The sequence below is a fragment of the Homo sapiens genome, chromosome 1 (genome assembly GCF_000001405.40).
Source record: "Homo sapiens chromosome 1, GRCh38.p14 Primary Assembly".
Lineage (NCBI taxonomy): Eukaryota > Metazoa > Chordata > Mammalia > Primates > Hominidae > Homo > Homo sapiens.
In genome coordinates this window covers 19,742,547-19,769,121 of record NC_000001.11, presented here as the reverse complement: position 1 = coordinate 19,769,121, position 26,575 = coordinate 19,742,547, and the positions used below count along the sequence as shown (strand labels likewise).

Genomic DNA, 26,575 nt, shown 5'->3' with positions numbered 1-26,575 from the left:
AGTCAGGAACCCTAAAAGAGGAGGGTGCTGAGGCTTGCTGAAGCCCACGCAGCAGGGCGGATGAGCTGCTTTCTCATGCGTGCTTGGCCATGCACGTGTGTTTAGTGCAGTCAGTGCCTGCCGGGGTGGCAGGACATGTAGGTCACCCTACCTTGGGGATTCTTGTTATTAGCATAATAAACTTTCTTTACTGTTTTTTAAAAAAGGCCTCTAAGCCCTTGCTACTCTCAGTGTGGTATGTGGACCCAGCAGCATCGGCACTGCTGGGAGGTTTGTGAGAAATACAGAGTCTCAGCCCCCGCCCAGACCCGCTGATTGGGATCTGCGTGGAATCCAGGCAATTCCTGAGTGCTTTCTACTTAGAGGAGCGCTGCTCTAAGGCTCCAAAGAGTGTGTTTGGGCCTAGTGTATCCAAAGTATTTTAATTCCATATCGTGGAGCTGAAAGGGCTCTCCACGGGTGACCAGGCCAGCCTCTGCTTTGAGGCAGGCGAGGCCTTCGGTAATACTTTATGTAGCAGAGACAGCCAGGCGGCCCCCAAGGGAGTGGCAGGGTTGGCCTGAGAACATTGCTTCGGTCACTGGACTCTGAGTTTGGGGCATTTTCTCTCTGCACCCCCTGGAGCTTACATTTCCAGGGCCAGGCAGTCTCAGGAGTTGTCATATATTTCATTACAGAGTGATTGTGTCACTTTATTTTTTTAACAGAAGTGAGGGAAGAATAATAGTATCTGATCCTCCTGGACTCCCTTGGAGAGAAAGGCTGAGTTGCATGGTGGTCTGAGACTCGGGCTGCTGGAGATCAGGGCAGCAGCTCAGCACATAGAATCTAATATTGGAATCAGTGTAATGGCAAAGCCGCCATGTGCCAAGTCCTAGCTGCGCGGCAGGCATGGCGCTAAGGGCTTGTGCTGGCATTTCATCTCGTCCTCCAGTGAGGTGGTTAAGGCCATTGCCCCCATCTTGCAGACCTGAATCTCACACATCAAGGTCAACTTGGATGATCCTCTTTTTTTTTTTTTTTTTTTTGAGATGAAGTTTCGCTCTTGTCCGCCAGGCTGGAGTACAGGTGGCATGATCTTAGCTCACTGCAACCTCTGCCTCCCGGGTTCAAGTGATTCTCTTGTCTCAGCCTCCTGAGTAGCTGGGATTACAGGCATGTGCCATCACGCCTGGCTAATTTTTGTATTTTTAGTAGAGATGGGGTTTCACCATGTCGGCCAGGCTGGTCTCGAACTCCTGACCACAAGTGATCCACCCACCTCGGCCTCCCAAAGTGTTGAGATTACAGGCATGAGCCACCATGCCCGGCGATCCTCTCATTTTCACAGGTGGAGAGACTGAGGCCCAGAGAGGGGAAGGGGCTTCCTTGCAGACACACAGCAGCAGAGGTAGACTGGGAGTCAGAAGCAGTTCTCCAGCCTCCTGGGTCAGCCCTTCCTTTCTCTCATTGCTTCTTCATCAAGTAGAAAGAGAAGCAGCCTTGGCCCCGGAATCTAACTTTCCCTCTTTCCTCACCCAGAGAGAGTCATATGCATCCCACCACCTCTTTCTGCACCCCACCCCTGCAAACCCCAAACCATCTTGGGCACCTAAGACATCTCCACTGACTCTTCTCTGCTGTTTGTGACCTTGGAGCTGGCTCTGGCAGAATTGAGTGGGTTTAAAACAGCCTGTCTTATGTCATTGCCTGGTGCTTCATGCCCACCCAGGCACGTTCTCATTATAGGCAACATCTAAACCAGCATCGCCCTTAAAATTTCCATTGAGAATGACTACCACTTATTCAGCACTCGTTAAATGCTGGTGACCTTACCTGGCTCTTGTCAATCACTGTTTCATTTCATCCTCACAGCCATCCTTTAAATGTAGGCGTTCCCACTTTACAGATGAACAAACCGAGGCCCATAGAAGTGAAGTAATTGCCTAAGCTAGTAAGTGGCAGAGCTGGACACTCTAAAACAACTGCTGTTAGTCAAAACGTTGGCAGATTTTACCCTCAGGAATTAGGGAATTGAAGCATCCCCATGGGAATATAATAATACCTCATATCTAAATAATACCAGGCTTTGATAATGCCTGGGAGGTGCCTTTGGTTTATCTGATAGCCTCAACAGGTGCCAGCAGGTAAGAGGAACAGCTTCAGTGGCACACTGGGACCCAATGGGAGCAGGTGCCAGGGCCCCAAAGGTCCCCAGAGATCAGAGGTAGGTAGACCCTCAAATCACCTAGACCACCCTCTTATGTAGATGGGGAAACTGAGGCCTAGAGGGGGAAGTGGTTTGCTGACGGTTGTCATGTCCAACCTCTTTATCTGTTCTAACGAATAACCAGGGACCAAGAATGGGGAGTATTTTGGGGATTGATTGTATTACAGTTCAAGCCCCACCTTGGCAAGTTACTGAATGTCTCTGTGCCTTGGTTTCCCCAGGCATCCAAGGGAGTAACAGTAGTCTCTACCTTGTAGGGTGGCGGTGAGGATTACATGAGCGAATCCATGTAGAGTGCCCAGCATGGAGCTGGCAGGCAGGGCACGGGCTGTGAGTGTTGCTGGGGTGATGGTGGCCATGGTGAAATGGGAAAACCCTGGAGTCAGGGAACCTGGATTTTCATCCTGTCTCTTGAGACTCTTGCGTGTGACCTTGATCAAGTCGCTTAACCTCTCTGAACTCCAATTTCAAGTACAAATAAGGGGCAAGAGCCAAATGTTCCATAAAAACACTATTTTTAAAAACTGTCTTGGGTTCTAAGAACATGATCTTGTAAAGCATGTCAAGATCCTTACAAGGATCTTGTAAGGAAAAGGTTGGTGTCGTGGATGGGCCAGTTGTCCAGGTCCTTCCTCGTGAGCTCCATGAGGGCAGTGCCCTTGTTGGGCCTGTTTACCTTTGCATCCCAGCAAGTGCAACACGGATGGACGCATGGTGGGCATTAGTATTTGTTGGATGGAGGGAAAAAAGGAGGGTGCAATAGAAAGATGGGTGGGCGACACTTCTTTGGAGAATGAGCTTAGATGCTGAGCAGCATGATTTGCTGAATGTCTTCTGACGGATGCATGGTGGACACTTGGTACTTGTTGGATGGAGAGAAGGAGGGCGAGAGCAATAGAAGGATGGGTGGGCGACCCTTCTTTGGAGAATGAGCTTAGATGCTGAGCAGCATGATTTGCTGAATGTCTTCCTTCTACAGAGATTGATGGGGGCAGAGGAGGAGGCTATCTGTGCTGCAGGATTTCTCCCTGGGTGTGAGACGGGCTGATTAGTCACGGAGTCAGCCCAGGAAATTAGCATGAAAAGCTGCATTTCTCAGAACTTCCTGGAAGGTTGACCTTTACTGAGAGTTTTGGGATGTTAGTCACCGAACGGTGCCATATTGGCAGCTGGGCGGAATTTTTTGTGCATGCTAATCATTTCCTTCTCCTCATCTAGTAGCAACCCACGAAGCGCTTTGCCCACACAACCGAAAAAATAAGTCTTTTACGTGATGAAAGTTAAACTAAATCTGAGCTGATAACTCTCAACCTCCACACAATTGATGTTTGAGGCTGGATCATTCTGTTGTGGGGGGCTATTCTGTGTGCCATGGGCTGCTTAGCCACATCCCTGGCCTCTACCCACTAGGTGCCAGTAGACATTCCTGAGCTGCGATAACCAGAAATGGCTCCAATGTCCTCTAGGTTGCCAATGTCCTCTAGGTTGCAAAACTGAAAATACGGCCATCTCAGGTGGGGCTGGTTTACTTGCATTTGGTAATCTTCCTAAGTTCTTCTAGTTGCTCTTCTAGGCCGCTTACATAGATTCTGAGTTATTGCAGAGTAGATGATCATCAGATCTGCTGCTGAGACTGGTACTGTTAACCTGCTCTTACAGGGGAGAAAATGAAGGTTCTGCAGGTTAAGTGAGTAGCCCAGGATTACATTTCAAAGTAAGTTTCAAAACTCCATTTAAGGCCAAGTGAATCTCACCGTGAACTCTGTATTGGTCCCTGGGAGACTTAAACTGCGTCATGATTTTTGCCCTCTGATCTCTGAATCCAAAGGGAGGATCACCTCTAGGCCCTGGAACTGCAGGAGGCACACACACTTGAGCCACGGCACTCTCTACCGCAGACGTGGCTCTGCTTTCTGGCCTGGTATTTATTACTGGATTGCAAACCCTGCCTCCCTGATGAATCAGAAAGACTTGAGGTGTTAGTCTTAGGTTGTGGTAAAATGCAAATATTGTCACCTGGCTGCTGGGTTCTCCATCAACATCCTTTTTTTTTTTTTTTTTTTTTTTTTTGAGACAGAGTTTCACTCTTGAGTGCAATGGCGCAATCTTGGCTCACTGCAACCTCCACCTCCCGGGTTCAAGCAATTCTCCTGCCTCAGCCTCCCGACTAGCCGGGATTACAGGCATGTGCCACCACGCCTGGCTAATTTTTGTGTATTTTTAGTAGAGACAGGGTTTCTCCATGTTGGTCAGGCTGGTCTCGAACTCCTGACCTGCCTGCCTCGGCCTCCCAAAGTGCTGGGATTACAGGCGTGAGCCACCACCACGCCCAGCCCAACATCCTTGAGACTCATACAGTTTATAATCCGTATCCAAACAGCCTGGTCCATCTATTCCGCAAATAAGAACTGACACCTGCTGTGTATGCCCGGCCCCGTGTGAGGCACTGAGAGTAACTCTAATAGCACATGCTCGTTGAGTGCCTACTGTATGCCTGGCTCTGAGCTAAGTGCTTTCTTTATAGGAACCAATTCGTTGAAACCCCACAATGACCCTTGGAGGTAGATGCTGTTACTGTTCCCATTTTACAGCAGAGGAAACTGCAGCGCAGAGAATGAAATGCCTGCCCAAGCTGGAAAGTGAGAAGTTAGGATTCCAGACAGGCCCCGGGGCTCCTGAGTCCACCTCTTACCTGCTGTTCCACCTCCCACATGGAGATAAGTGGAGACTTCACCCCTGAAGCTGACTTTAAGAGGGTTGGATGAGGCCTGAATGAAGGGCGGGTGCCCATGCGGCAGGAACCAAAGGAGCTGCTTCTCTTACTGATCCTACATCCAAGAAGGTGGAGATGGGAGGGTCTCAGAAGCAACCCCTCCTCTCTCCCCTCTGCTCCAAGACCACTGGTCTTGAAGTAAGCTTGTCACTGCCTTAATGCCCTTAATCGTCCTAAGCCATGAGGACAAAAGGCAAGAATCATCCCCAAGATGTCCTGAGTTAGACTGCCCTGTGAGGGCTCTGCAGCCAGGCTCAGCCTCTCAAAATCGGGACCCTGGGCACACAACGGGGCTTCAACCCAGTGCTCAGCAATGGACAGGGTGTATGGTACTGGAATACTGTGTAGTTTCTTCTTTATATGGGAAATAATTCATTTAGGGTAAAAATGGGGCTACGTAATAAATATTCTAGAAAAAGTATGTAATTAGAAAAGTTGGTGAATCAAGGGATAGTAGGGTGGTGGGTGAGGTTAGCAGTTATATGAATGTGACCTGTGAGGTGTGTCCTCAGACCCAGGGAGAAGAGAGACAAAGGGCCCCTGCCCTGGCACAGCAGCAGGCAGCCCACAGCCTCACCCTGGCACCCTGGCTCAGAGAGTGGCTTCTTAACAGGTACAGGAAGGAGGAAACATGACAATTTCCCATGAAGTAATATCAGCCACCCTGTATCGGGCACTTACTGTGTCCCAGGTGCCAGCCAAGCTCACCACATCCATCCTCTTATTGTCCCTCAACAAAAGCCAGATCAAAAAGATATTCTTGGCCCGGCGTGGTGGCTCACGCCTGTAACAATCCCAGCACTTGGGAGGCCGAGGCAGGCAGATCACTTGAGGTCAGGAGTTCGAGACCAGCCTGGGCAACATGGTGAAACCCCATCAGTACTAAAAATACAAAAAGTTACCAGGCATGGTGGTGGGTACCTGTGATCCCAGCTACCCGGGAGGCTGAGGAACAAGAATCGCTTGAACCCTGGAGACGGAGATTACAGTGAGCCAAGATCGTGCCACTGCACTCCAGCCTGGGTGACAGAGTGAAACTCCATCTCAAAAAAAAAAAGAAAAAAAGAAAAAGATATTCTTATTCCCCTTTTGCAGATGAAGAAACTGAGGCTCAGAGAGGTTAAGAGACTTACTGAACCCATTCAGCTAGTAGGAACTTAGATCAAGATTTAAACCCAGGTCTGTTTGACAAAGGCTGAAGTTTCTGCCTCTGGGTTCCTTCGCTTTGGTCTGGAGGGCAGCCCCCAAAGGGCGGGGATTGACCATGATCTCTTCCCAAAGGTGTGGGCTCTCCCAGCAGGTACGAGGTCAGCCCCGACCCACCATCCCTACCTCCATGCTCAGAGATGGAGCCATTACTGGGAACAGGCTGTTTCAGTGCCTTACAACAGGAGGCTGTCCTGCCCCCCGCTCCTGATTTGGGGGATTTGGAAATGTGGGGAGAGTCAGGATTGTTATCACAACCTGTGTGGGTGCAACTGGCATTTAGGGCCAAGTTCCCAGGGTGCTGCTATTCTTTGATGCATAAGAGTGTTCGATAATGAAGTACGAAACGCAGCTGCTTCTGTATTGAGAAATGCTGGTGGGCGAAGGAGTCCCATCATGAACACACAGCCTGGCTCTGGACATGCCCCTTGCTCTTGTTGAAGCAGGGGGACCAGTTGGCTCCAGGGGCTCCCACAGTATGTGGTTGTGTGTCTGGGGTGGGCACCAGGGCTAATCCCGCAGTTCTGGGTGTCTGGCACACTTCTGCCCTCTGGTGGCAGAGCCGAGATCCCTCGGTCACCCTCCCCAATCCCCCATCTTTCCAAAGAACTGTTATCCCGTGATACGTAACTTTTAGGTGTGCCTGTGGCCCATGATCTAGGGCTGCCCCTGAGATTGTATGTATACCCCATGTGCATAAAATATAGGATTCACAGCTGGCCAAACGAGATTGTCCTAGGACACCAAACTCACTCAAGAGTAAGGCATTTGCCTTTAAAAGGCACTCATAGTGGAATGAGCAGAAATGTTGGCATCACATAATTTGGATTATAATCCAAGCTCCAGCACTCTCTGACCTGTGTGGCTTTGAGAAAGTTTCTTATCCACTCTGCACCTGTTCTTTCTTCATTTGCAAAATGCGGCATCATAGTGACAACCTCCTAGGACCATTGGGAGGATCAGCAATCACAAATGCAAGCTCCTGCCATGATGCCTGCTGCTTAGGAGCAGGCCAGGGATGCCGGGTTCCCTTCCCTGCAGAGGTGGCAGGAGGAGCATCACGCTCTGCCTCCAGGCATGAGCACATCCAGACTATCTCAGACTGGGAGGAGCTCATTTGCAAGAGGGGAGCCCACTGCTCTGTTTCCTGGGGTAGGAATCATCTGTTTCAGAATCACTGGGAGTGGGGAGTGTTGTTAAAAGTACAGATTCCTAAGCCCTACCCCAGATCTCCTGCATGTGGGACCGAGGAAGCTGTAATTCCACAAGCTCTCTGGGACCTTGATGTTCCCTAAACTCTAAGAACCACTGTCCCGCTGTGACTGTCAAGTCTCCACATGACCCTGTTGCTGTTGGGCTGTTTCAAGTTCATTTGACCTTGGGCTTTAAAGGTCTCTCCTTGTGAGGAGGAACAGGTACCCTGAGGCTGACCCTCAGATCTCTGAGCTGGAAAGGACCTCTGGATACCAGCTCCTTTGGTCCTTCCGGCAGGATCCAAAAGTCTGGGCCTGGGCACTGGACTGGAATCTGCACATCTATCAGGAGCAATGGGGGGATGTTGCAGCACCCATTGATCATGGGCTGATTTAGAAGGAGGCCGTGAGGAAGGGGTGCAGGCTGGAAGCATGGGCGGGCTTCGGGGAGAGGTGTGTGGCTGGAAGACAGTGTTCTGCTAGCTCGTGGCCCTCCTTCCCACTTCATGGTGCGGGGAATGGGTGGCGGTCAGGTGCACAGCATCTGCACCCAGGCTGCCACTTTACTACTCGCTGTCCAGGTGAACCTGGCCACTGGCCTAAGCTCTCTGCACCTCACTTTCCTCTTTGAGAAGATGGAGTTTCTATAGTACCCGCCACTTCAGAGGGTCATAAGGATTCAATAAGCCAATACGTGCAGAGAGTGTAGTGCAGAATCTGATCTAGATGAGTAGGTGATAAATGAAGCTTCCAGATTAATAGGATTATTGGTCATAGGATGTTTCTGCCGAAAGGGGATATACATCTCATCCAGCAGAACTGTCCCCTGCATTTGGATCTCTCCCAACAGAGTTCCAGCCACTCAGTCATTCATTCATTTCTACAAATATTCCATTCCTCTTACGTACAAAGATTATTAAACCTCTGCTTTGTTTTTGGCATGGGCCGAGGTACTAGGGATGCACAGTGGATTTGGAGCTTAAATTTTATATTCTAGAAGAAGAGGAGACAAAATAAACAAGTAGGCAAATAAAATATATATATAGTTGTTTTAAATGGTGATAAGAAGAAATGGCTGGTCACAGTGGCTCATGCCTTTAATCCCACCACGTACTTTGGGAGGCAAAGGTGTGTGGATTGCTGGAGATATATATATATTATCAGAGCATGGAAGCACATGCCTGTAGTCCCAACTGCTCAGGAGGCTGAGGTGAGGGCTCACTTGAGCCCAGGAGGTTGAGGCTGCAGTGAGCCAAGATCATACCACTGCACTCCATCCTGGGTGACAGTGAGACCCTGTCTCAAAAAGAAAAGAAAAGAAAAAGATACGGAGAAATAACTCATGGTAAGAGACTAGGAAGGAGTGGACTGGGTCAGGGAGGGCTTCTCCAAGAAGGTGACATTTGAGGAAGGAACTGAGTGTTCCAGGCATAGTCAAGCCTCTGATATTTGTGGCATGTGCCTGTAGTCCCAGCTACTTGGGAGGCCAAGGTGGGAGGATTGCTTGAGGCTAGGAGTTTGAGACCAGCCTGGGCAACATAGCAAGATCCCCATCTCTTAAAAAAGAAAAAAAAAAGACTATATGACATTTAAGAATAATTCACCACTGTAAGAGAAGACCCCACTGAGAGGAGGAGAGAGGCCTTAACCCATTAATCCACTCTCCCCTAGTCCCCTGGGGGAGCAGGACTTGGAGGGTACTAGAGAGGGAGAGGGAGTCTCAGTGGAGGTGGGAGGCAGAGAAAGGTCTTTTGTGCTGCTTGGGGCAGGTGGCCACAGCACAGAACCCTGGCAGGCAAGAGAGAACTTTGGTCAGCTCATGACTCAACACATCTTAACTATGCACCTACTAACTGCCAGGCATTGTCCCAAGCACTGGGAGAACAGCAAGGAACAAAGTAAATGTCGCTGCCCTTGTGGGACAGACATTCCAATGGGGAAAGCCAGACAATAAACCTATACAGGGAAATGGGGTAATGGAGATGGGGTGACTGGGGGCTGAGCTGTTCTGATTCAGGAGCCGCTGGCTTCTCTAAGGAAGTGATATTTAAGTGGAGACCTGACTGATGGGAAAGGGCAGCTGAGCAGAGATCTGGGGCAGGAACTTCCCAGATATCAAGAACAGCGAGTGCAAAGGCCCCGAGGCAGCCGTGAGCTTGGCTTCTTGAGCTGCTGGTGCCTGAAGCAGGGCCGGGTAGAAGGTGAGGTCGGAGAGGATGGCAGGAAGGGGCTGGATAATGTGCAGTCTTGCAGACCATGGAAAGAAATGTGGACTTTATTCTAAGTGCACTGGGGAGCTGTCAGAGAGCTCTAAGCCAGGGAGAGAACATGACCGGATTGATGATTTTAAAGAAGCTCAGTGGCTGCTGTTTGGCAAATGGAGTGCAGAGGCAAGAGTGAAAGATGAGAGCAGTGAGGCGGCTGGTGGTTGGAGAGCGAGGGCTGTGGCTGTGGCGGTGGCAGTGGAGAAGGAGTGAAGTGGTCAAACCCAGGATATGTTTTGCAGGTGCAGCTGTCAGCATCAGCTGTTGGGTTACATGTCGGGACAGGGAAACAAGAACTAAGAGCAATGCCCAGGCTTGTGGTCTGAGCCCCAGGGTGGATGGAGCACTTTTTTTTTTTTTTTTTTTTTTTTTTTTGAGACCGAGTCTCTCTCTGTTGCCCAGGCTGGAGTGCAGTGGCATGATCTTGGCTCACTACAACCTCTGCCTCCCAGGTTCAAGCAATTCTCCTGCCTTAGCCTCCCGAGTAGCTGGGATTACAAACGTGTGCCACCATACCTGGCTAATTTTTGTATTTTGTAGTAGAGAAGGGGTTTCACCATGTTGGCCATGCTGGTCTTGAACTCCTGACCTCAAGTGATTGGCCCACCTCGGCCTCCCAAAGTGCTGGAATTACAGGCACAGGCATGAGCCACCACGCCTGGCCTGTGGGGCACCTTTCATTGGGACAGGCTCTCAAGGAGCAAGTTGGCCCCTGGCAAGTTGGCAGTAGAGCCTGGGCCAGAGAATGCCAATATCCTGGGTAGCCCAGGACTCTGCCCCTCCCTACTGCCTTCTAGACGAGGAGATTTGCTCCTAGAGCTTCCAGAAGGAACATGCCTTAAACTACGAACCCTGGCTCCAAGACCAGCATCCCTGCCACCAAGTCCTTGAAATGACCTATACACAAGGCTAAGATACAAAAGCCCCGTGCCTGAGATTACCACAGGAATGTTAATCACACATGCACCCAGCAGCCTGCATGCTGGAAGGTGAATCACTGCAGCCTTGACCAGTGGAGTATGTATTAGCAACTAATTATCATTGCCACCAATTAATCATCATGGCCAAAGCTTGATTTCTACAACCCGATTATCACGTGGGCACAGTAGTCTTTGCTCCTATGGGGGAAGGAAGGAGCTCCTTTTTTCCATGGAAGTTTACTGAATCTAATAACCCCAAGCCACAGCATGTGGTGTCTGTCCCCAGCACGTAGACAGCTCCTCATCCTGGGAGACAGCAGGGCAGCCCCAAGAGACCCTGTTTCACTCTGGGGACCCTGGGTCAAGGAAGGAACTGATTTCTTTTGCAGAAGCCGAAACCTCAAACTTCAAGACTTCAGGGACTGTGTCATGGTAAATGGTCCCTCACATGGAAACATGAGGCCAGGGAAAGGAGGGTCCCCTATACCAGAACTCAGGAAACCCTATTTTTGGCAAGCTTCTCAGGTCATGCTAATAGGCAGCTGGACTGGGGAATTAGCGTTTTAGACAACTTGTGTCTTCACAGGGCCAGGGCACACAGGGAAGGTGAGTGCGGAGTAGCTGAATGCCAGGTCCTTGTGATTTTCTCTGTCAAAAACATTCAATTTGGAAGCATGTCATAGTACTTGAGTCACAAAGAATTTGACCTAAAATTCGGAAGAGTTTATTCATTGGTTCATTCACTGCATAAACATTTTTTGAGTTCTTATTGTCACACCCCAGGTAGGTACAGCAGTTGGAAAAACAGATGACTAAGCTTACAGTCTAGTAAGATATGATGAGTACAATCAAATGGGGAAGATACTGAGAGAGAGGTCTGTGTAAGCGATCACAGACCCCCAAAGGAAGGAGTGATGCAGAGAGGGTTCAGAGAGGAGGTGATGGTTGAGCCAGGTCAAGGGTTAAGTGATGGAATAATGGCCCCCAAAGATGTTCACATCCTAATCCCTGGCAACTGTGAATATGTTACCCTACATGGCAAAAGGGACTTTGCAGGTGTGATTACATTAAGAATCTTGGGATGGGGAAGCTATCCTGGGCTTTCCAGATAGGCCTAATGCAATCACAAGGTCTTCATAAAAGGGAGACATGAGGATCTAAGTCAGAGCAGGACATGTGACCATGGGAGCAGAGGCTGGAGTGACTGGAGGGAGGGGCCACAAGCCAAGGAAAGCAGGCTGGGAAAAGCAAGAAAACAGATTCTCTCCTTGCTAACACTGTGATTTTAGAATATCCGGCCTTCAGAACCGTAAGATGCTAAATTTGAATTGTCAGCCAGGTGCAGTGGCTCATGCCTCAGCCTCCCAAGTTGCTGGAAATTACAGGCGCCCCCCCCCGCCACCACGCCTGGCTAATTTTTGTATTTTTAGTAGAGATGGAGTTTCACCATGTTGGCCAGGCTGGTCTCGAACTCCTGGCTTCAAGTGATCTGCCCACCTCAGTGTCCCAAAGTGCTGGGATTACAGGCGCCCGACCTCCTTCACTTTTTTTTCCTGTGTGGTATTTGTTTTTTGTTTTGTTTCTTAGTTGGGACCCCATGACGTATTATCAAGTCACTCTTCTATGCATTAAAAATTTTGTTTCATTATATAAGCATTTATTTTCCCTTTTTTCTTTATTTATAATATGCAAACAGAACTGTGTCTTTTTTATTCCTTTTTTTCAATTACTGAGATGAGATCTTGCTATGTTGCCCAGGCTGATCTCGAGCTCCTGCGCTCAAGTGATCCTCCCCCATCAGCTTCCAAAGTAGCTGGGATTATAGGCACGCACCACCACTTAGCCATAAATTATCTTAGCCATAAATTCTTCTGGGTAAGAACTTATTTTTGAAAGTTATTACATACTTTTCTTAGGAATCACTTTTTATGGCCCCTTGGTTTTCGGCTGGATGGGTGTGGGTTATTCAACTAATTTCCTGATGTTGGAAATCTCCAGGTTGTTTCCAATTTCATATTATAAATACAGCATACTGCCTTTATTTACTAAATATCATCTGCATTTACGGTTGTTTTCTTAAGATTACAATTCCAGAAATGGAATTCCTGGGGCAAAGGGGATTATTTTTTTTTAAGTTGTTGATACTTATTGTCCAGTTGCCCTCCAGAAAGTTTATACCAGTGCATGCTTCCACCAGCAATGTCTTTGGGCATCCATTTTTATCATCTCCTTCACAGCTGTGAAATTTTAAAAACTGATCTTTGCGCATTTGACTGGTGAGAAATACCACCTTCCTTTTTTCTTTTTTGAGACAGGGTCTCACTCTGTCGCCCAGGCTAGAGTGCAGTGACATGATCACGGCTCACTGCAGCCTCAACCTCCTAGGCTCATGATCCTCCTACATCAGCCCCCTGAGTAGCTAGGACCACAGGCATGCACCACAATGCCTGGCTAAGTTTTGTATTTTTTTGTAGAGGTGAGGGGGTCTCACTGTGTTGCCCAGGCTGGTCTTGAACTCCTGGACTCAAGCGATCTGCCTGCCTCAGCCCCCCGAAGTGCTGGGATTACAGGAGTGAGCCACCGTACCCAGCCCCACCTTGCTTTTGCTGAATATTTTAATAGTTGTATAGTATTCTGTCCAGGCAACTGTGTCATTTTTTTCATTGACTGGCTCCCATGGGGTTGTACATTTAGGCTGTTTCTAGTGTGGGTTTTATCAGTTACACTGCTAACATCACTGTTCTTAAAACCTAAACTGATTCTTTTCCGGTGTTGTTTCTGTCTTTCGAGGGCACTATGACGCCCGGGCCAGAGTCCTCGTTTGCCACATGACCTCCCTGCTCCAAGTGCCCTTGGAGGAGCTGGATGTCCTTGAAGAGATGTTCCTGGAGAGCCTGAAGGAAATCAAAGAAGAGGAATCTGAGTAAGAGAGCCCCGCGACCCCCATCAGGATCCAAGGATTTCCACTTCAGTGTACTTTGCAGATAACAGAGTCCCCTTCTCCCTTTAAGAGATGGTGTAGTGAGGTGGAAGGAGCCCTGGACAGAGTCCCAGCTGTAGCCCTGACTCGCTGTGTGGCCTTAGCAAGCTACTTGCCCTCTCTGGGCCTCTGACTTCATTTGCAAGAAGAAAAGATGAAATGTGCCAGGCATGGTGGCTTACGCCTGTAATCCCAGCACCCTGCAGGCGGATCACTTGAGGTCAGGAGTTCGAGACCAGCCTGACCAACATGATAAAACCCCATCTCTACTAAAAATACAAAAATTAGCCGGGCACGCTGGCATGTGCCTGTAATCCCAGCTACTCGGGAGGCTGAGCCAGGAGAATCACTTGAAACAGGGAGGTGGAGGTTGCAGTGAGCCAAGATTGTGCCACTGCACTCCAGTGTGGGTGACAGAGTGAGACTCTTGTCTCAAAAAAGAAAAGAAAAGAAAAGATGGAATGAATGATTGCTAAGGGCCTTGAATCTGTGACTTTAACATCCTGGGGCCCTGACACCCTGTTCCACCTCAGGCTCTTATGACACCTGGTTCACGGGCACAATTGACCTGGATTCAATTCCCGTTTCTGATACCTGTCCACTGCTTGACATTGGGCGGGTGGCCTTGCTTTTTTAAGCTGCAATGTTCTTATCTGTGAAACAGGAATAAGGATAGTGCCCTCCCAGGATCATTAGGAAGAATGAATGTCTGCGCATTATAAAATGCCCGGCCCAGGGCTGGCACACAGCAAGTGCTTGGTAGATGTGAATCCTCCCCTTCCCCGACGTGTCCCGGACCCATCAGTTGTAGAGTTGCTTTGCTGTCTATATATGGTCAAGAATGTGTAGAAGGAAATAATTCTGGTAACCTGGCCGGTGCTCAGCTCTTTGCAGAACGCTTTACACAGGATCTAATCCCAGAGCAATAAATCAATTTCAGTCACAGCCTAATCCCAGGCTCCTGGCACCAGGCACGTCTCCCAGGTCTGGGTTTTTTTTAGCTGCCGTGGTGTTCTTTGACCAGCCAGGTTACCCGAGGTCAGCCCACCTGGGAATTTAATCCTAAAGCCAAATTGAGACCCAGAGCCACCCTCATGCCACGGTTAGTGGAGCAAAGAAAAGGGGTATTTCCTTGAGAAAGGGGGAAACTTGGTTTGTTGAAATAACCTGTAGACATACTAGCTTTGACTCCCAGAGTTGTGTCAGTATAGAAATACCTGGATCCATGCCAATTACCATAATCACGAGGGCATCCTAGGTTCTTTGGATATGTCGGGAATTTATAGGATCTTATATGCCTTGAAATTAAGGAACCTCTCAGTTATTATTTGGAAATCTTATTATCAGAGAGAAACGTATTACCCGGAGCGATTTGTTCTGATAATACCGGTAACCCCAGGTCAGGGAAGATATAAACCAGAAGGTCTAATACAGGCCAGTTCTGCCACTTACCAGCCATGTGAATCTGGGCATTATTTAACTTCTCTGAGCTTCAACTTCCTCACCTGTAAAATGGGGATAATAGTAGCGCCCTCCTCACAGAGTTCCTGTGGGGCCCAGATGAGTTCATATATATGTGAAGTGTTTCAAGTGAGCCTGGGACAGAGTAACTAGTCCATAAATATTATTTGCTGTTGTTAACAATACTGTTCTAATTGTGTTATTATAGACCCTTTTATAAACTATTATAGACCCTATTGTAGTCTATATGTAGACTCTTTCCCCAGGAAAAGGCTTCACACATGTAATTGTTTATGCAGCGTTAGGGACTCTCAGATTCTGTGGTCTCTGGAAGGATCTGAGACCCAGGGAAGCCATAGCAACTGTTCAGCCAGGAGACCTGGCTCTCAGTTTGATTCTGCTACTAACCCTCTGTGTGGCCTTGGGCACGTGTCTTTCCCTCCCTGGACACCAGCACACATTTTCTTTTTTTACCTATACAATTAAGGGATTGAATGATACGTAAATTTCTCTTGACTGTAAGGTTTTGTGTTTCTGGGAGGTGAGTTCATCACTGGGCCGACCAAGGTGACTCTTTGCAGCTGAGGTCTAGAGTGTGACGTACCACCCCTCTGCTCCTGGGTCCCTGTCTGAGCCCTAAGGCCACCCGGCTTCCCTCACTTGTTTAGTGACTTCACCTCTCCTCTCTGTGCCTCATTTCTTCATCTCTCACATGAGGATAATGGTAGTATCGCCATCAGCATTGAGAGGATTAAATTACTTAACACATATCAAAAGCTGGGACCCGTGCTTGGCACATAGTAGAGTCTCAGAAGATGTGAGCTCATGAGCTGCTGGGGTTGATACTGCTCACATAGGCCAGGCGCAGTGGCTCACACCTGTAATCCCAGCACTTTGGGAGGCTGAGGCGGGTGGATCACCAGAGGTCAGGAGTTCGAGACCAGCCTGACCAACATGGTGAAACCCCGTCTCTACTAAAAATACAAAAATTAGCTGGGTGTGATGGCGTATGCCTGTAATCCCAGCTACATGGGAGGCTGAGGCAGGAGAATTGCTTGAACCCAGGAGGCGGAGGTTGCAGTGAGCCGAGATCATGCCATTGCACTCCAGCCTGGGCAACAAGAGTGAAACTCCATCTCAAAAAAAAAAAATTACAATTAAAAATAAAGAAAGAAAGATACCGCTCACATCGTAAGAACGTTGCCAGCATCAGATTTTTCCTGAATGCCTACTAGATGCAGGCACAAGATGCCATCTCACTCGATCCTCATAACAGCCCCCTAAGTGTTTCACAAATAAAGAAATAAAGTCAGAGGGGTGGCATAACTCAGCCAAGGTCGCATGGCTGGCCAGCAGCATCTGATTTGACCACGATGTCCAGTCTGAATGGCTCTCACTGTGTCCTTCAAGGCCTGGCTGGCAGTGGCAGGGTTTCTCCTTAATTCTGAAGAAAACAAGAAAGATAATGATTTTATGGGGTCATCCAGGCCATTACTAGGAAAGTGTCTGTAGACCTCTCAGTGATAAGCTCTCTCTATCTGTCAGCACAAAAAAAAGTGATTTAAAAACAGAAGGTGGTGGTGAGGATAAGGACAGAAAACACCCTCTTATGGGAGATAAGATGACAGAGAGTAAGACCGATTTATGGATCTATGAGATGGGCAATGCGGGCGTCTTGCTCTTCAGGAGGTATCTCTGGCTTCAGCCTGGGATTTGGCCCAAATCTGCATGTGGTTTCAGCCTTTGTCTTTGGGCAGCTCAGGTTCGCTTCTGCCTTTTCAGCATGACCGTGACTACGACGGTGTGGGTTGCTGTCATATCTAATCAGCAGGCAGTCAGTGATGACAACAAGGCTGTCATTCGGATTTAGTGTTGTTCTCTGAGTGTTCACTTCCAAGGAAAGGGAAGGAGGCATTGTAAATGTGACTCAGAGCAAACATCTCCCCTTTGCTTTCAATGTTGAGATTCAATCAGACAACTGAAGTAATTGCAAGAGTATAGTGCTGCAATAATGAACGATGTCTGGGAAAGCTATTTTATGTACAAAAAAAAAATTTTTTTTTTTTTTGAGACAAAGTCTTACTGTGTCACCCAGGCTGGAGTGCAGTGGCGCCATCTCGGCTCACTGCAAGCTCCGCCTCCTGGGTTCACGCCATTCTCCTGCCTCAGCCTCCCAAGTAGCTGGGACTACAGATGCCCGCCACCACGCCCAGCTAATTTTTTGTATTTTTAGTAGAGACTGGGTTTCATCATGTTAGCCAGGATGGTCTCGATCTCCTGACCTCGTGATCCACCCGCCTTGGCCTCCCAAAGTGCTGGGACCACAGGCGCGAGCCACCACGCCCGGCCCCCAAAACAATTATTAAGAACATGCAAATACTTAAACAGGGAAATAGATTGGCCATTCAGCTGAACGTTAGGAGAGAGTGCCTTAGCCAAGTAACTTTAGGAAAAAATATCTTCTTTTCAAATCAACAAATGCTTACAAACTTTTTGTGAGGGAGATGGGGGAGACAGAGTCTTACTCTGTCACCCAGACTGGAGTGCAGTGGCATGATCACTGCAGCAGAGGCTCACTGCAGCCTTGACCTCGCAGGTTCAAGCGATCCTCCCACCTCAACCTTCCAAGTAGCGTGGACCACAGGTGTGCACCACCATGCCCGGCTAATTTTTTTATTTTTCTAGGGACAGCATTTCACCCTGTTGCCCAGGCTGTTCTGGAACTCCTGGGCTGAAGGGATCCTCCCACCACAGCCTCCCGAAGTGCTAGGATTACAGGCATGAGCCACCATGCCCAGCCTATATATTTTTATTTAGCCAACATGTCCATCCTGTACCTCTCTGGTTTTCAGAGATGTGGACAGTGAGTAGGGGAGTATATCACCGCAGCAAGGTGGTCACCTCCAATTCTTGTTGGAATAATTAGGCTCTTTACAAGAAAGATTTCCTGAGTACCCTCCAGTTTCCAAGCCCAGGGCAAGCTGCTGAGGATGGGGAGTTGGAAATGGCTTGGTCCGTGCTGTGAGAGCTTAGCTCAGCAATTTTCAAACTTGAGTTACAGCAGAATCCCTGGAGGAGGAACTTGTTAACGATACAGAATCTTTGTCCTTAGACCCAGAGATTCTGCCCCAGGAAGCTGTGTTTTTAACAAGTACCTCCTGGTGATTCTGGTGCCCACCCTCTGAAAATCACTGGTGTAGAATTCCAGGATAATGTGGCACAGAGGGTTAAGGGGCCCAGAGTCAGGGCATCTCAGCAACCTTGGGGTTTTGGCCAGTCTTCCTGGAGGATATGTCCCATCTCGGCTGACTCCTGAAGGTTGAGTGATGTTGAACTAGTCACAGGAAGGTGGGAAGGTCCTTGATGGCCAGGGGCCAGAAGGTGACTGGAGACAGCTCAGTATTTCCCAAGGGTGATGTGTCAGTGAGGAAGTGATGAGTGTTAGAGGGGGAGAGAGGGATCAGGACACAGAGGGCGTAAGTGTCACATCGGGGAGAGATGACAGTGTCCTGAAGGCAGCCAGGCAGGCAAGGAGGGAAGAGGAGAGAGAGGCAGGTAGTCATGGTTATATTTTTCTATTAATACTTGGCATTGGCTGCTGCGGTGGTGCCGTCTCATCATCTGTCCATGGGTCATTTGATAGTTACATTTCCTAAGCGAGAAAATCAACACTCAGAAAAATTAGATGATCCAGCAAGTTCATGGCAGAGCTGAGCTCAAACACCTCTTCCCCAAATTTCCAGACTATTTCCAGGCCGTGTTTGTTGAATCAAGATGCCGCTGACTCAGCGCCACATCGCTTGTCTAGTTGCACGTTCCCGTCGTATATCGTCAGTGACTTGAATGTTTTCTTCGGCCTTGAACTCTGCCCAAAGTCAGTAATCTTCAGCCTTCCACTTGGAACTGACTTAAGAGTTATCAATTAAGGGTCAAGGCAGTTCAGGGTCAAAGTATATCTCCAGCCTGTGTTGAGGAGGAAATTATTACAATAATAATGAAAAGAGTGATAATAGCAATAAACATATTGAATAATTACAGGATGGTAGTCACTATGTCTCAGTGTCTCTGTCTCATTTAGTCCTCACAATACCCCTGGAAATTCAGTACTGTTTTTATCCCCATTTGTAGGTTGAGGAAACTCAGATGTGACAAATAATTTGTGCATAGTCACAAAGGTATTAAGTGGTTCTGTCCACTGTGGGGATAGGCTAGGTTTTGCTGCCATAACAAGTGACCCCCAAATAAGTCTCAGCAGCTTACAGGATTAAAGGTGTATTTCTTGTTCATACTTTGTGTCCATTGCAGATTGGCTGTAGCTTGAATTCACATTGTACTGGTTCTGGGTCCCAGGCTGACAGAGTGACCCTATCTAGATTATCGCTGGTTTTGGGGCATAGAGAAAGAAGATGAATCACTTTCCTGCACTGGCTTTAAAGATTCTACCAGTTGTCCCGGCACGGTGGCTCACACCTGTAGTCCCAGCACTTTGGGAGGCTGAGGCAGGTGGATCACTTGAGCCCAGGAGTTTGAGACCAGCCTGGGCAACGTGGCAAAACCCCATGTCTACAAAAAGTACAAAAATTACCCAAGCGTGGTGGTGCATATCTATAATCCCAGCTACATGGGAGGCCGAGGTGGGAGGACCACTTGAACCTGAGAGGTGGAGGTTGCAGTGAGCCAAGATCCCACCAGTGCACTCCAGCTTGGGTGACAGAGCCAGGCCTTGTCTCAAAAAAAGAAAGGGAAAAAAAAAAAGATTCTGCCAGAAGTGACACATATCACCTCCACCTACATTTGGCTAAAGCTGGTCCTATGACCACTCAGTTTGACAGGGCAGGGATGCATAATCTTTCTGCAGAGAGGGATAACTGAATATGTGGTGAATCGTGATACAGCTACCACAACAGCAGAGCTAGGATTCATGCCTACATCCACAGAGTTTGAATCCTGACATTAGAACCCTCGATCTTGATGGCCCTCCTGCCTCCCACTGTGCTAGATGCACATGGTTCAGCCTCATCCCACACCACTGATGACATGAATTTCAGTTGTGGAAAACCAGTATCATGATATGCACAGAGATTTTTACTGTTGCTTTCTGCTTCTGTGTAATGAAGTGACTGAGAAACACTGGGCTTTACACCCAGGAGATGCTTAGGAAAAAAACCTGTTGAGGTGAACGGGCAGGGAACCAAAAAGCACAGCAGGTCCCCAGATGCCCAACTGAAATCCCATTTTGTTTACTTATGTATTTTATTTCATTCATTCATTCATTCATTCACTCATTCATTCGAGACAGGGTCTCACTCTGTTCCCAAGCTGGAGTGCAGTGGTGGGATCTCAGCTCTCTGCAACCTCCTCCTCCTGGGTTCAAGTAATTCTCCTGCCTCAGCCTCCTGAGTAGCTGGAATTACAGGCGCCTGCCCCCACGCCTGGCTAATTTTTGTGTTTTTAGTAGAGATGGGGTTTCACCATATTGGCCAGGCTGGTCTCAAACTCCTGACCTCAGGTGATCCACCTGCCTCGGCCTCCCAAAGTGCTGGGTTTACAGGTGTGAGCCACCATACCTGGCCAAATCCCATTTCTTTTAGATGACTGGAGAAGAAGCTATTTCTCAATAAAATGTATGGTTCACAAGGAGGGAGATGGGAAGGAAACAGGTACTGGTTGAGCACATACATTTTTCTGCTCAAGGAGATGGGAAAGCACAGCATGCCATCCATTCTCAATATAACTTTATTGACTGAATGGACGAAGAACGAATGAATTTAATCCTTACAAGCCAACAACTTTATGAGGTAGAAATTAGTGTCCGCCTTTTGACAAAAGAGGAAACTGAGGCTTGGGGAGATGCAGCATCGTGATGACATCAGCCCCAGTTGCGCTGAGCACTTGCAGTGTGCCCGCCGCCATGCTAAATGCTTTACAGATAATCTATTTCTGGATCCTCACAGTTCATGGGGAGGTAGTGACTGTTATCCCTTAATTCATCTATAATATGGGTACAATAACCATACTGCTTCTTAGGATAAGATTAATCCTGTGAAGTGCAAAGCCCAGTGGCTGAGATATAAGAAGCCCTTGGTAAAGATTAACCATTTTTCTTCTTTGATTATCACCATGCTTTGCTATCACTCCACACTGAGTTATTGTTCAGACTCCAACCTCAGTTCAGAGTTCCTACTTAATAACCTCTCCATCCCAGCCGCAGCAAAGGGGCTCAGGGCTGAATGTCCAATAGGAAAATTGGGCTTCCTGACTCTTGAGTGCTCACAACAGCAGTTCTCAGGGCACACCTGACCCCAATTCACTCTAAATGTTTTCCTTTTGCTAGATTTTCTAGCATTTCCATTTCAAGTCTGAACAAGTCTAGCTACTGCTCCAAGGCCAAGGTCTCCCATCTTCAAAATGATCATTTTGGAGGAAATTGGTTTCCAAATATCCCAGAGGGAGGTGGGATCAGATGGCAGGTTGGGGAAGAAGGGAGGGGAGGAGGGAGGTGATGGAGTCTGTGATTATCTATTTTGTGCTTCTTCTGGGTCCATCTGTTTAAAGATCTTTTTTGTGCTTCTCTTGCTATTATTATTTTTTGTCTTTTTATTATTCAAATTGCAACCCTGTTAGGATGGATCCATTGGGTAAGTAGTACATCCCATACACTGAGATTCCCCGGCTGGGTTTTAGAATGTTTTCAGCTTTTTAAACCATCAGTGGGCTCAAGGTGACTTTGGTGCCTTACTCTGAGTGGCAGAGTAGCTACCCAGCATTGGCCCCTGTTTGAGGGTTGGTGTGGTGGGGATGTCTCAAGGGATCCTGGGCACAGCTGGCCCTAAAGACCAGCCTCTTTTCCCTCAGAATGGCCGAGGCATCCCGAAAGAAGAAAGAAAACCGGAGGAAATGGAAGCGTTATCTCCTGATAGGCCTGGCGACTGTCGGAGGCGGAACGGTGATCGGTGAGTCCAGCTAGAGATGGTGGCACACGTCTGGGTTTTGTAGACAGAGAAATGATGCCAGGCTGTGGGTGAGAGTGGAGAGTGCAGGGGCTCAGCTGGGAGGTGGCCCCTGGCATGTGGTAGGTAGTCAGTGAGTAGTCGGTGTGCTCATCAGCACTGTCAGAAACTTCCATGGGAGGCAGTAGGTAGCTGAGGGGTAAAAACTCATCAAGCCACGTTTTTTTTTTTTTTTTTTTTTTGAGACAGTATCTTGCTCTGTCGCCCAGGCTGGAGTGCAGTGGCATGATCTCGGCTCACTGCAAGCTCCGCCTCCGAGGTTCATGCCATTCTTCTGCCTCAGCCTCCCGAGTAGCTGGGATTACAGGCGCCTGCCACCATGCCCGGCTAATTTTTTGTGTTTTTAGTAGAGATGAGGTTTCACCGTGTTAGCCAGGATAGTCTCGATCTCCTGACCTCGTGATCCGCCCACCTCGGCCTCCCAAAGTGCTGGGATTACAGGCGTGAGCCACCGCGTCCAGCCACCACATTTTTACTCCCACCTGAAACTGCTGCTTTTCCCACAGGTGTGACTGGAGGTCTAGCTGCACCCCTTGTTGCCGCTGGAGCAGCGACGATTATTGGCAGCGCCGGGGCAGCGGCTCTGGGCTCAGCAGCCGGCATAGCCATCATGACCTCGCTGTTTGGTGCAGCTGGAGCTGGCCTGACAGGTAAGGTTCAAAAGGAATGATGGGTTCAGAGGAATTTTCAGCCAGGGTGGCCCAGTTCCTAAAAGGACATGCCTGGATCCTCACCAGCAGTGACTCCCTGGGAGACAGAGGAGACGTGGCTTTTCTCACTCTGGGTCCCAGCCTTCCCAGAGCTCGCGTGGGTCAGGGTAAGGGCTGAGTTTGAGAAGCTGGCTTTTTCCCCATGCACCTTGTGTGTAGTTCCTGAGAAAGGCCCCAGTGGAACCTGCTTCCACCATCCAGAAGTTTCCATGCTTGGGCTTCCTCATGTTTGGAGGGAACATGGCTGCCCTTCCCTGAGCAGCATCACCTGGGGGAGTTTTTCCAAATGATATCTGTCAGCAGCAGCCCCCCTCCCACTCCTCCAACCTCGTCATGCACAGACATTCCTGTTCAACTCCCCAAGAGAAGTTTGCTCCCCTGATGAGACTCTTGGTCTGTTTGATTCACTGTTACTAAGTGGAGTGTGTTCTACCCCTGCGGTGTGTGGGCAGGAGAAAAGAAACAGAACCAGGGCAGAGCAATGGGTGAGAGCCTGGGCTCTGAGGTCCAAACCAGCTCTACCGCTCGGGGGCTGGCCAGCCTCAGAAGCAGCTTCTTGCTTTCGTCTGTAATCAGGGACAATAGTGGCACCTACCTTAATGAGTTCAAACACAAAATGTGTTTTTCCAGGGGCAGGGCACACAGATGGTGCTCACTGTGTGCATGTGTGAGAACATACAGCCACCCTGATGTTCCCCGGGGCCCCAGTCACCTCCATTCTCTTTCTCGGATCTGGGTCTTTAGGATACAAGATGAAGAAGCGAGTGGGAGCCATTGAAGAGTTCACGTTTCTGCCTCTGACGGAGGGCAGGCAGCTGCACATCACCATCGCCGTCACGGGGTGGCTCGCTTCTGGCAAATACCGTGAGGACCAGGAGGACCAGAAGTGGAGGGGGGTGGGCAGTGGTGGCCTGGGCCAGACCCTGGGCTAGGTTTTTACCTGCACTAGGGAGCAGGTATAGGGAGCCCCATTTCGCAGAGGAAGAAACTGAGGCTCAGAGAGGTGAGGCAACTTCATCTCACATCTGTCCACCTGCCCATCATCTCGCCATCCATCTATCCACCTACCCACCTGTCCATCCACCCATCCACCTACCCACCCACCCACCCTTTTACCTGTTTACCCATCCATCCACCCACCTGTTCATCCATCTACCCACCCACTTAACCACCCTTCTATCTATCCATCCATCCATCTACTCTTCTACCTGTCTACCTGTCCACCCACTCACCTGTCTACCCACCCATGAACCCATGCATCCATCCACACTTCTACCTATCTATCCATGCACCCACCCATCCATTCATCCATCCACCCTTCTACCTATCCACCCATCCACCCACCCACCTGTCTGTCCATTCACCCACCCATCTGCCCACCCATCTGTTCATCCATCCACCCATCCACCTCTCTGTCCATGTAGCGGTATTTATAAAGTGCTGTACTTACCATGTGTCATATACTGAACCAGGTCTTAGGAATTCAGTGGTGAGCAGCACAGCCATGGCCTCTACTCCCACAGAACATACAGCCCAAGATAGAAGACAGACCGAGTAACTAAATGGGAGCTTTATGGATGGCACAATAGGGGAAGCACAGGGTGTTTCTGGGGAAGGTTCTGAAGGAAGTGACATTAGGCTAAGGGCTAGCTGGGAGTTAGCCCGATAAACCAGGAGCAGAAAGTGTATTCCAAGCAAAGGGACAGCAGGTGCAAAGGCCCAGCGGTTTGAAAGAACCAAAAGAGCACAGGATGGCTGCAGCAGGGAGGCAGAAGGCAGGAATGTGGGTGGAGCCAGACCACACAGGGGCATGTGAGCTGTGGCAAGAAGTTTGAATTTGTCCTCAGAGCAAGTGGAAGAGAGCAAAGGACTTTCAGCATGTGAGTGAGAGATCAGTATGTGTTGGCTACATGACCTCAGCAAGTTACATAACTTCTCTGTATCTCAGCTACTTCATTTGTAAAGTGGAACAAATTACTGCCACCTTTTCAGGATGCTGCAAAGATTAAGTGAGGAACATCACGTGGTTTCTCGTTGGCATGAAGCAAACATTAGTTCCCTTTGCTGTTCTCATTTGAACATGCATATTTTGGGGGATTCTAGCCAGGGTGGCATTGAGGACTCACACCATGGTCCACTTGTTACTTGACCCCTGCAAGTGCCCAGCGAGAGGCTCAACAAACAACAAACAGTGCATCCCTTAGAAAAAGAGCAGGGTGGGTGCGGGAATCCTAAACGTCCCAACCTGACCACTCAGGCACGCCTGCCCAGAGCCTCCTGGGTTCCCAAGTCTCTGACCTAAGGGCAGAAGTCACAGATCTGCCAAACCACACAGAAGAAAGCCAGTGAGAAACATTTAGAGGTGTCACCAGGCGCCAGGGTCTTATTGGTGTGTGACCGCCGGGCACCACCCATGCACAGAGGTCACTAGCGTTCAGTGAGCGCCTCGTTCACACCTACCTTGAGTCTGGCATTTTACCAGCATAGTAGGAACTTGGTATGGTTACCTCCTAGAAACTTCACTTCCACCCTCCAAGGTGGGGCTGTTCTGACCCTGATCTGTTGGAAGAGGAACCCTGGCAGGGGAGTAGCAGATGCACAATTCAAACCCAGGTCTCCTGATCCAATGCCCAGGGTTTTTCATTTGTTTTCATTTTACCGTGCTACAGGAAGGAGCAAGAACAAGAGCCCAGGTAAAGGAATTTGCAAGTCTGGCCGGCATGGAAAGCAAACTCCTTTCTTCATTTTGCCCCCACTTGTTCAGTTTGCCCCTATTTGTTCAGTTTGCCCCGGGTTAAAGGTCAAGTTCATTTGGGGATGAGGAAAGTCTTCACTGATCTCCAGCTGTCTAGTGTGGGACACTCAGGGAAAGGGCTGGGTAAAAGAAATACAACCAAGCTAGAGAAAGTTTCAGAAGGAAAAAATATCACATATTCCTACCTCCTCGAGAGCCAGGAAAAGAAGCCTTATCATCACCTGATTGCTTTTTCCATGTGATAGGAATGACCGGACTTTCTTTGGACCACCCCTTTATTAATCTTGATTATGTACAATAAAGATAAAAACTTTGTAGCCAACCACCAAGCCCTTCCTATGCACTGGCTCATTTAGCTCCTCACTTCAGTCCAGGGAAGTGGCTGTCATTCGCACTCCCCTTTTCCAGATGAGGAAACTGAGGCTTATAAGGGGTGCCCAGGGTCACCCAGCTAGTCAGGGGCAGGGGCAGGATTCACCCCCATTCTATCTGGCTCCAGCCCATATTCTTGGCCATAGGACAGCACAATGCAGTAGAGCACTTTACAGTTTATACAACGCCTTTTTATTTTTTTTATTTTTATTTTCTTTTGGAGACGGAGTCTTGCTGTATCACCAGGCTGGAGTGCAGTGGCGCGATCTTGGCTCACTGCAACCTCCGCCTCCCGGGTTCTAGCGATTCTCCTGCCTCAGCCTCGAGAGTAGCTGGGATTACAGGCATGTGCCACCACGCCCGGCTAGTTTTTGTAATTTTAGTAGAGACGGGGTTTCACCATGTTGGCCAGGATGGTCTTGATCCCTTCACCTCATGATCCACCCGCCTCGGCCTCCCAAAGTATACAACACCTTTTATGCAGCATCTCCTGTGATCCCCACCACACCTGAGTCAGATGTTATTATTCCATCCTTACAAATGTGGAAACCAAGGGTCAGAAGGGCATGGTGCCTTGCTGTGGGTCACACCCGTGGAAGCCATCGAGCTGGGTTTGGAACCCAGGCTGACATCAAGCCTGTGCTTCTCGCTGTCCTGTGCCCATCTCCTCTCTTGGGGCTGACTATCACCTTATCCATAATTAGAGGCAGTTGATCCCCAAG

General features: G+C 48.9%; 1 protein-coding gene across 17 annotated transcripts in view, besides 2 other annotated features; it reads left to right on the top strand.

Annotated features, from left to right (window-relative positions):
• Positions 1 to 26,575, top strand: part of TMCO4 (transmembrane and coiled-coil domains 4) — a 117,677-nt gene that overhangs the window by 30,795 nt on the left and 60,307 nt on the right. For 15 of the 17 annotated variants that reach the window (NM_001349112.3, XM_011541185.4, XM_047416926.1 and 12 more), the window contains 4 exons: positions 13,356 to 13,488; positions 21,862 to 21,959; positions 22,523 to 22,666; positions 23,471 to 23,590. In NM_001349112.3, the coding sequence (NP_001336041.1) occupies positions 13,356 to 13,488; positions 21,862 to 21,959; positions 22,523 to 22,666; positions 23,471 to 23,590 (495 nt within the window). Of the gene's footprint in view, positions 1 to 13,355; positions 13,489 to 21,861; positions 21,960 to 22,522; positions 22,667 to 23,470; positions 25,804 to 26,575 lie in introns of those variants that run through there. The other 2 variants (NM_001349115.1, XM_047416933.1) reach the window with 2 other exon arrangements.
• Positions 2,923 to 4,122: an enhancer, noted in NCBI's record as "MED14-independent group 3 enhancer chr1:20091493-20092692 (GRCh37/hg19 assembly coordinates)". NCBI's record gives its function as "activates an origin of replication core promoter dependent on BRD2, BRD4, P300/CBP and CDK7 cofactors, and independent of MED14, by STARR-seq in HCT116 cells {active_cell/tissue: HCT116}" and the evidence as "EXISTENCE:reporter gene assay evidence [ECO:0000049][PMID:35650434]".
• Positions 17,958 to 19,157: an enhancer, noted in NCBI's record as "BRD4-independent group 4 enhancer chr1:20076458-20077657 (GRCh37/hg19 assembly coordinates)". NCBI's record gives its function as "activates an origin of replication core promoter dependent on BRD2, P300/CBP, MED14 and CDK7 cofactors, and independent of BRD4, by STARR-seq in HCT116 cells {active_cell/tissue: HCT116}" and the evidence as "EXISTENCE:reporter gene assay evidence [ECO:0000049][PMID:35650434]".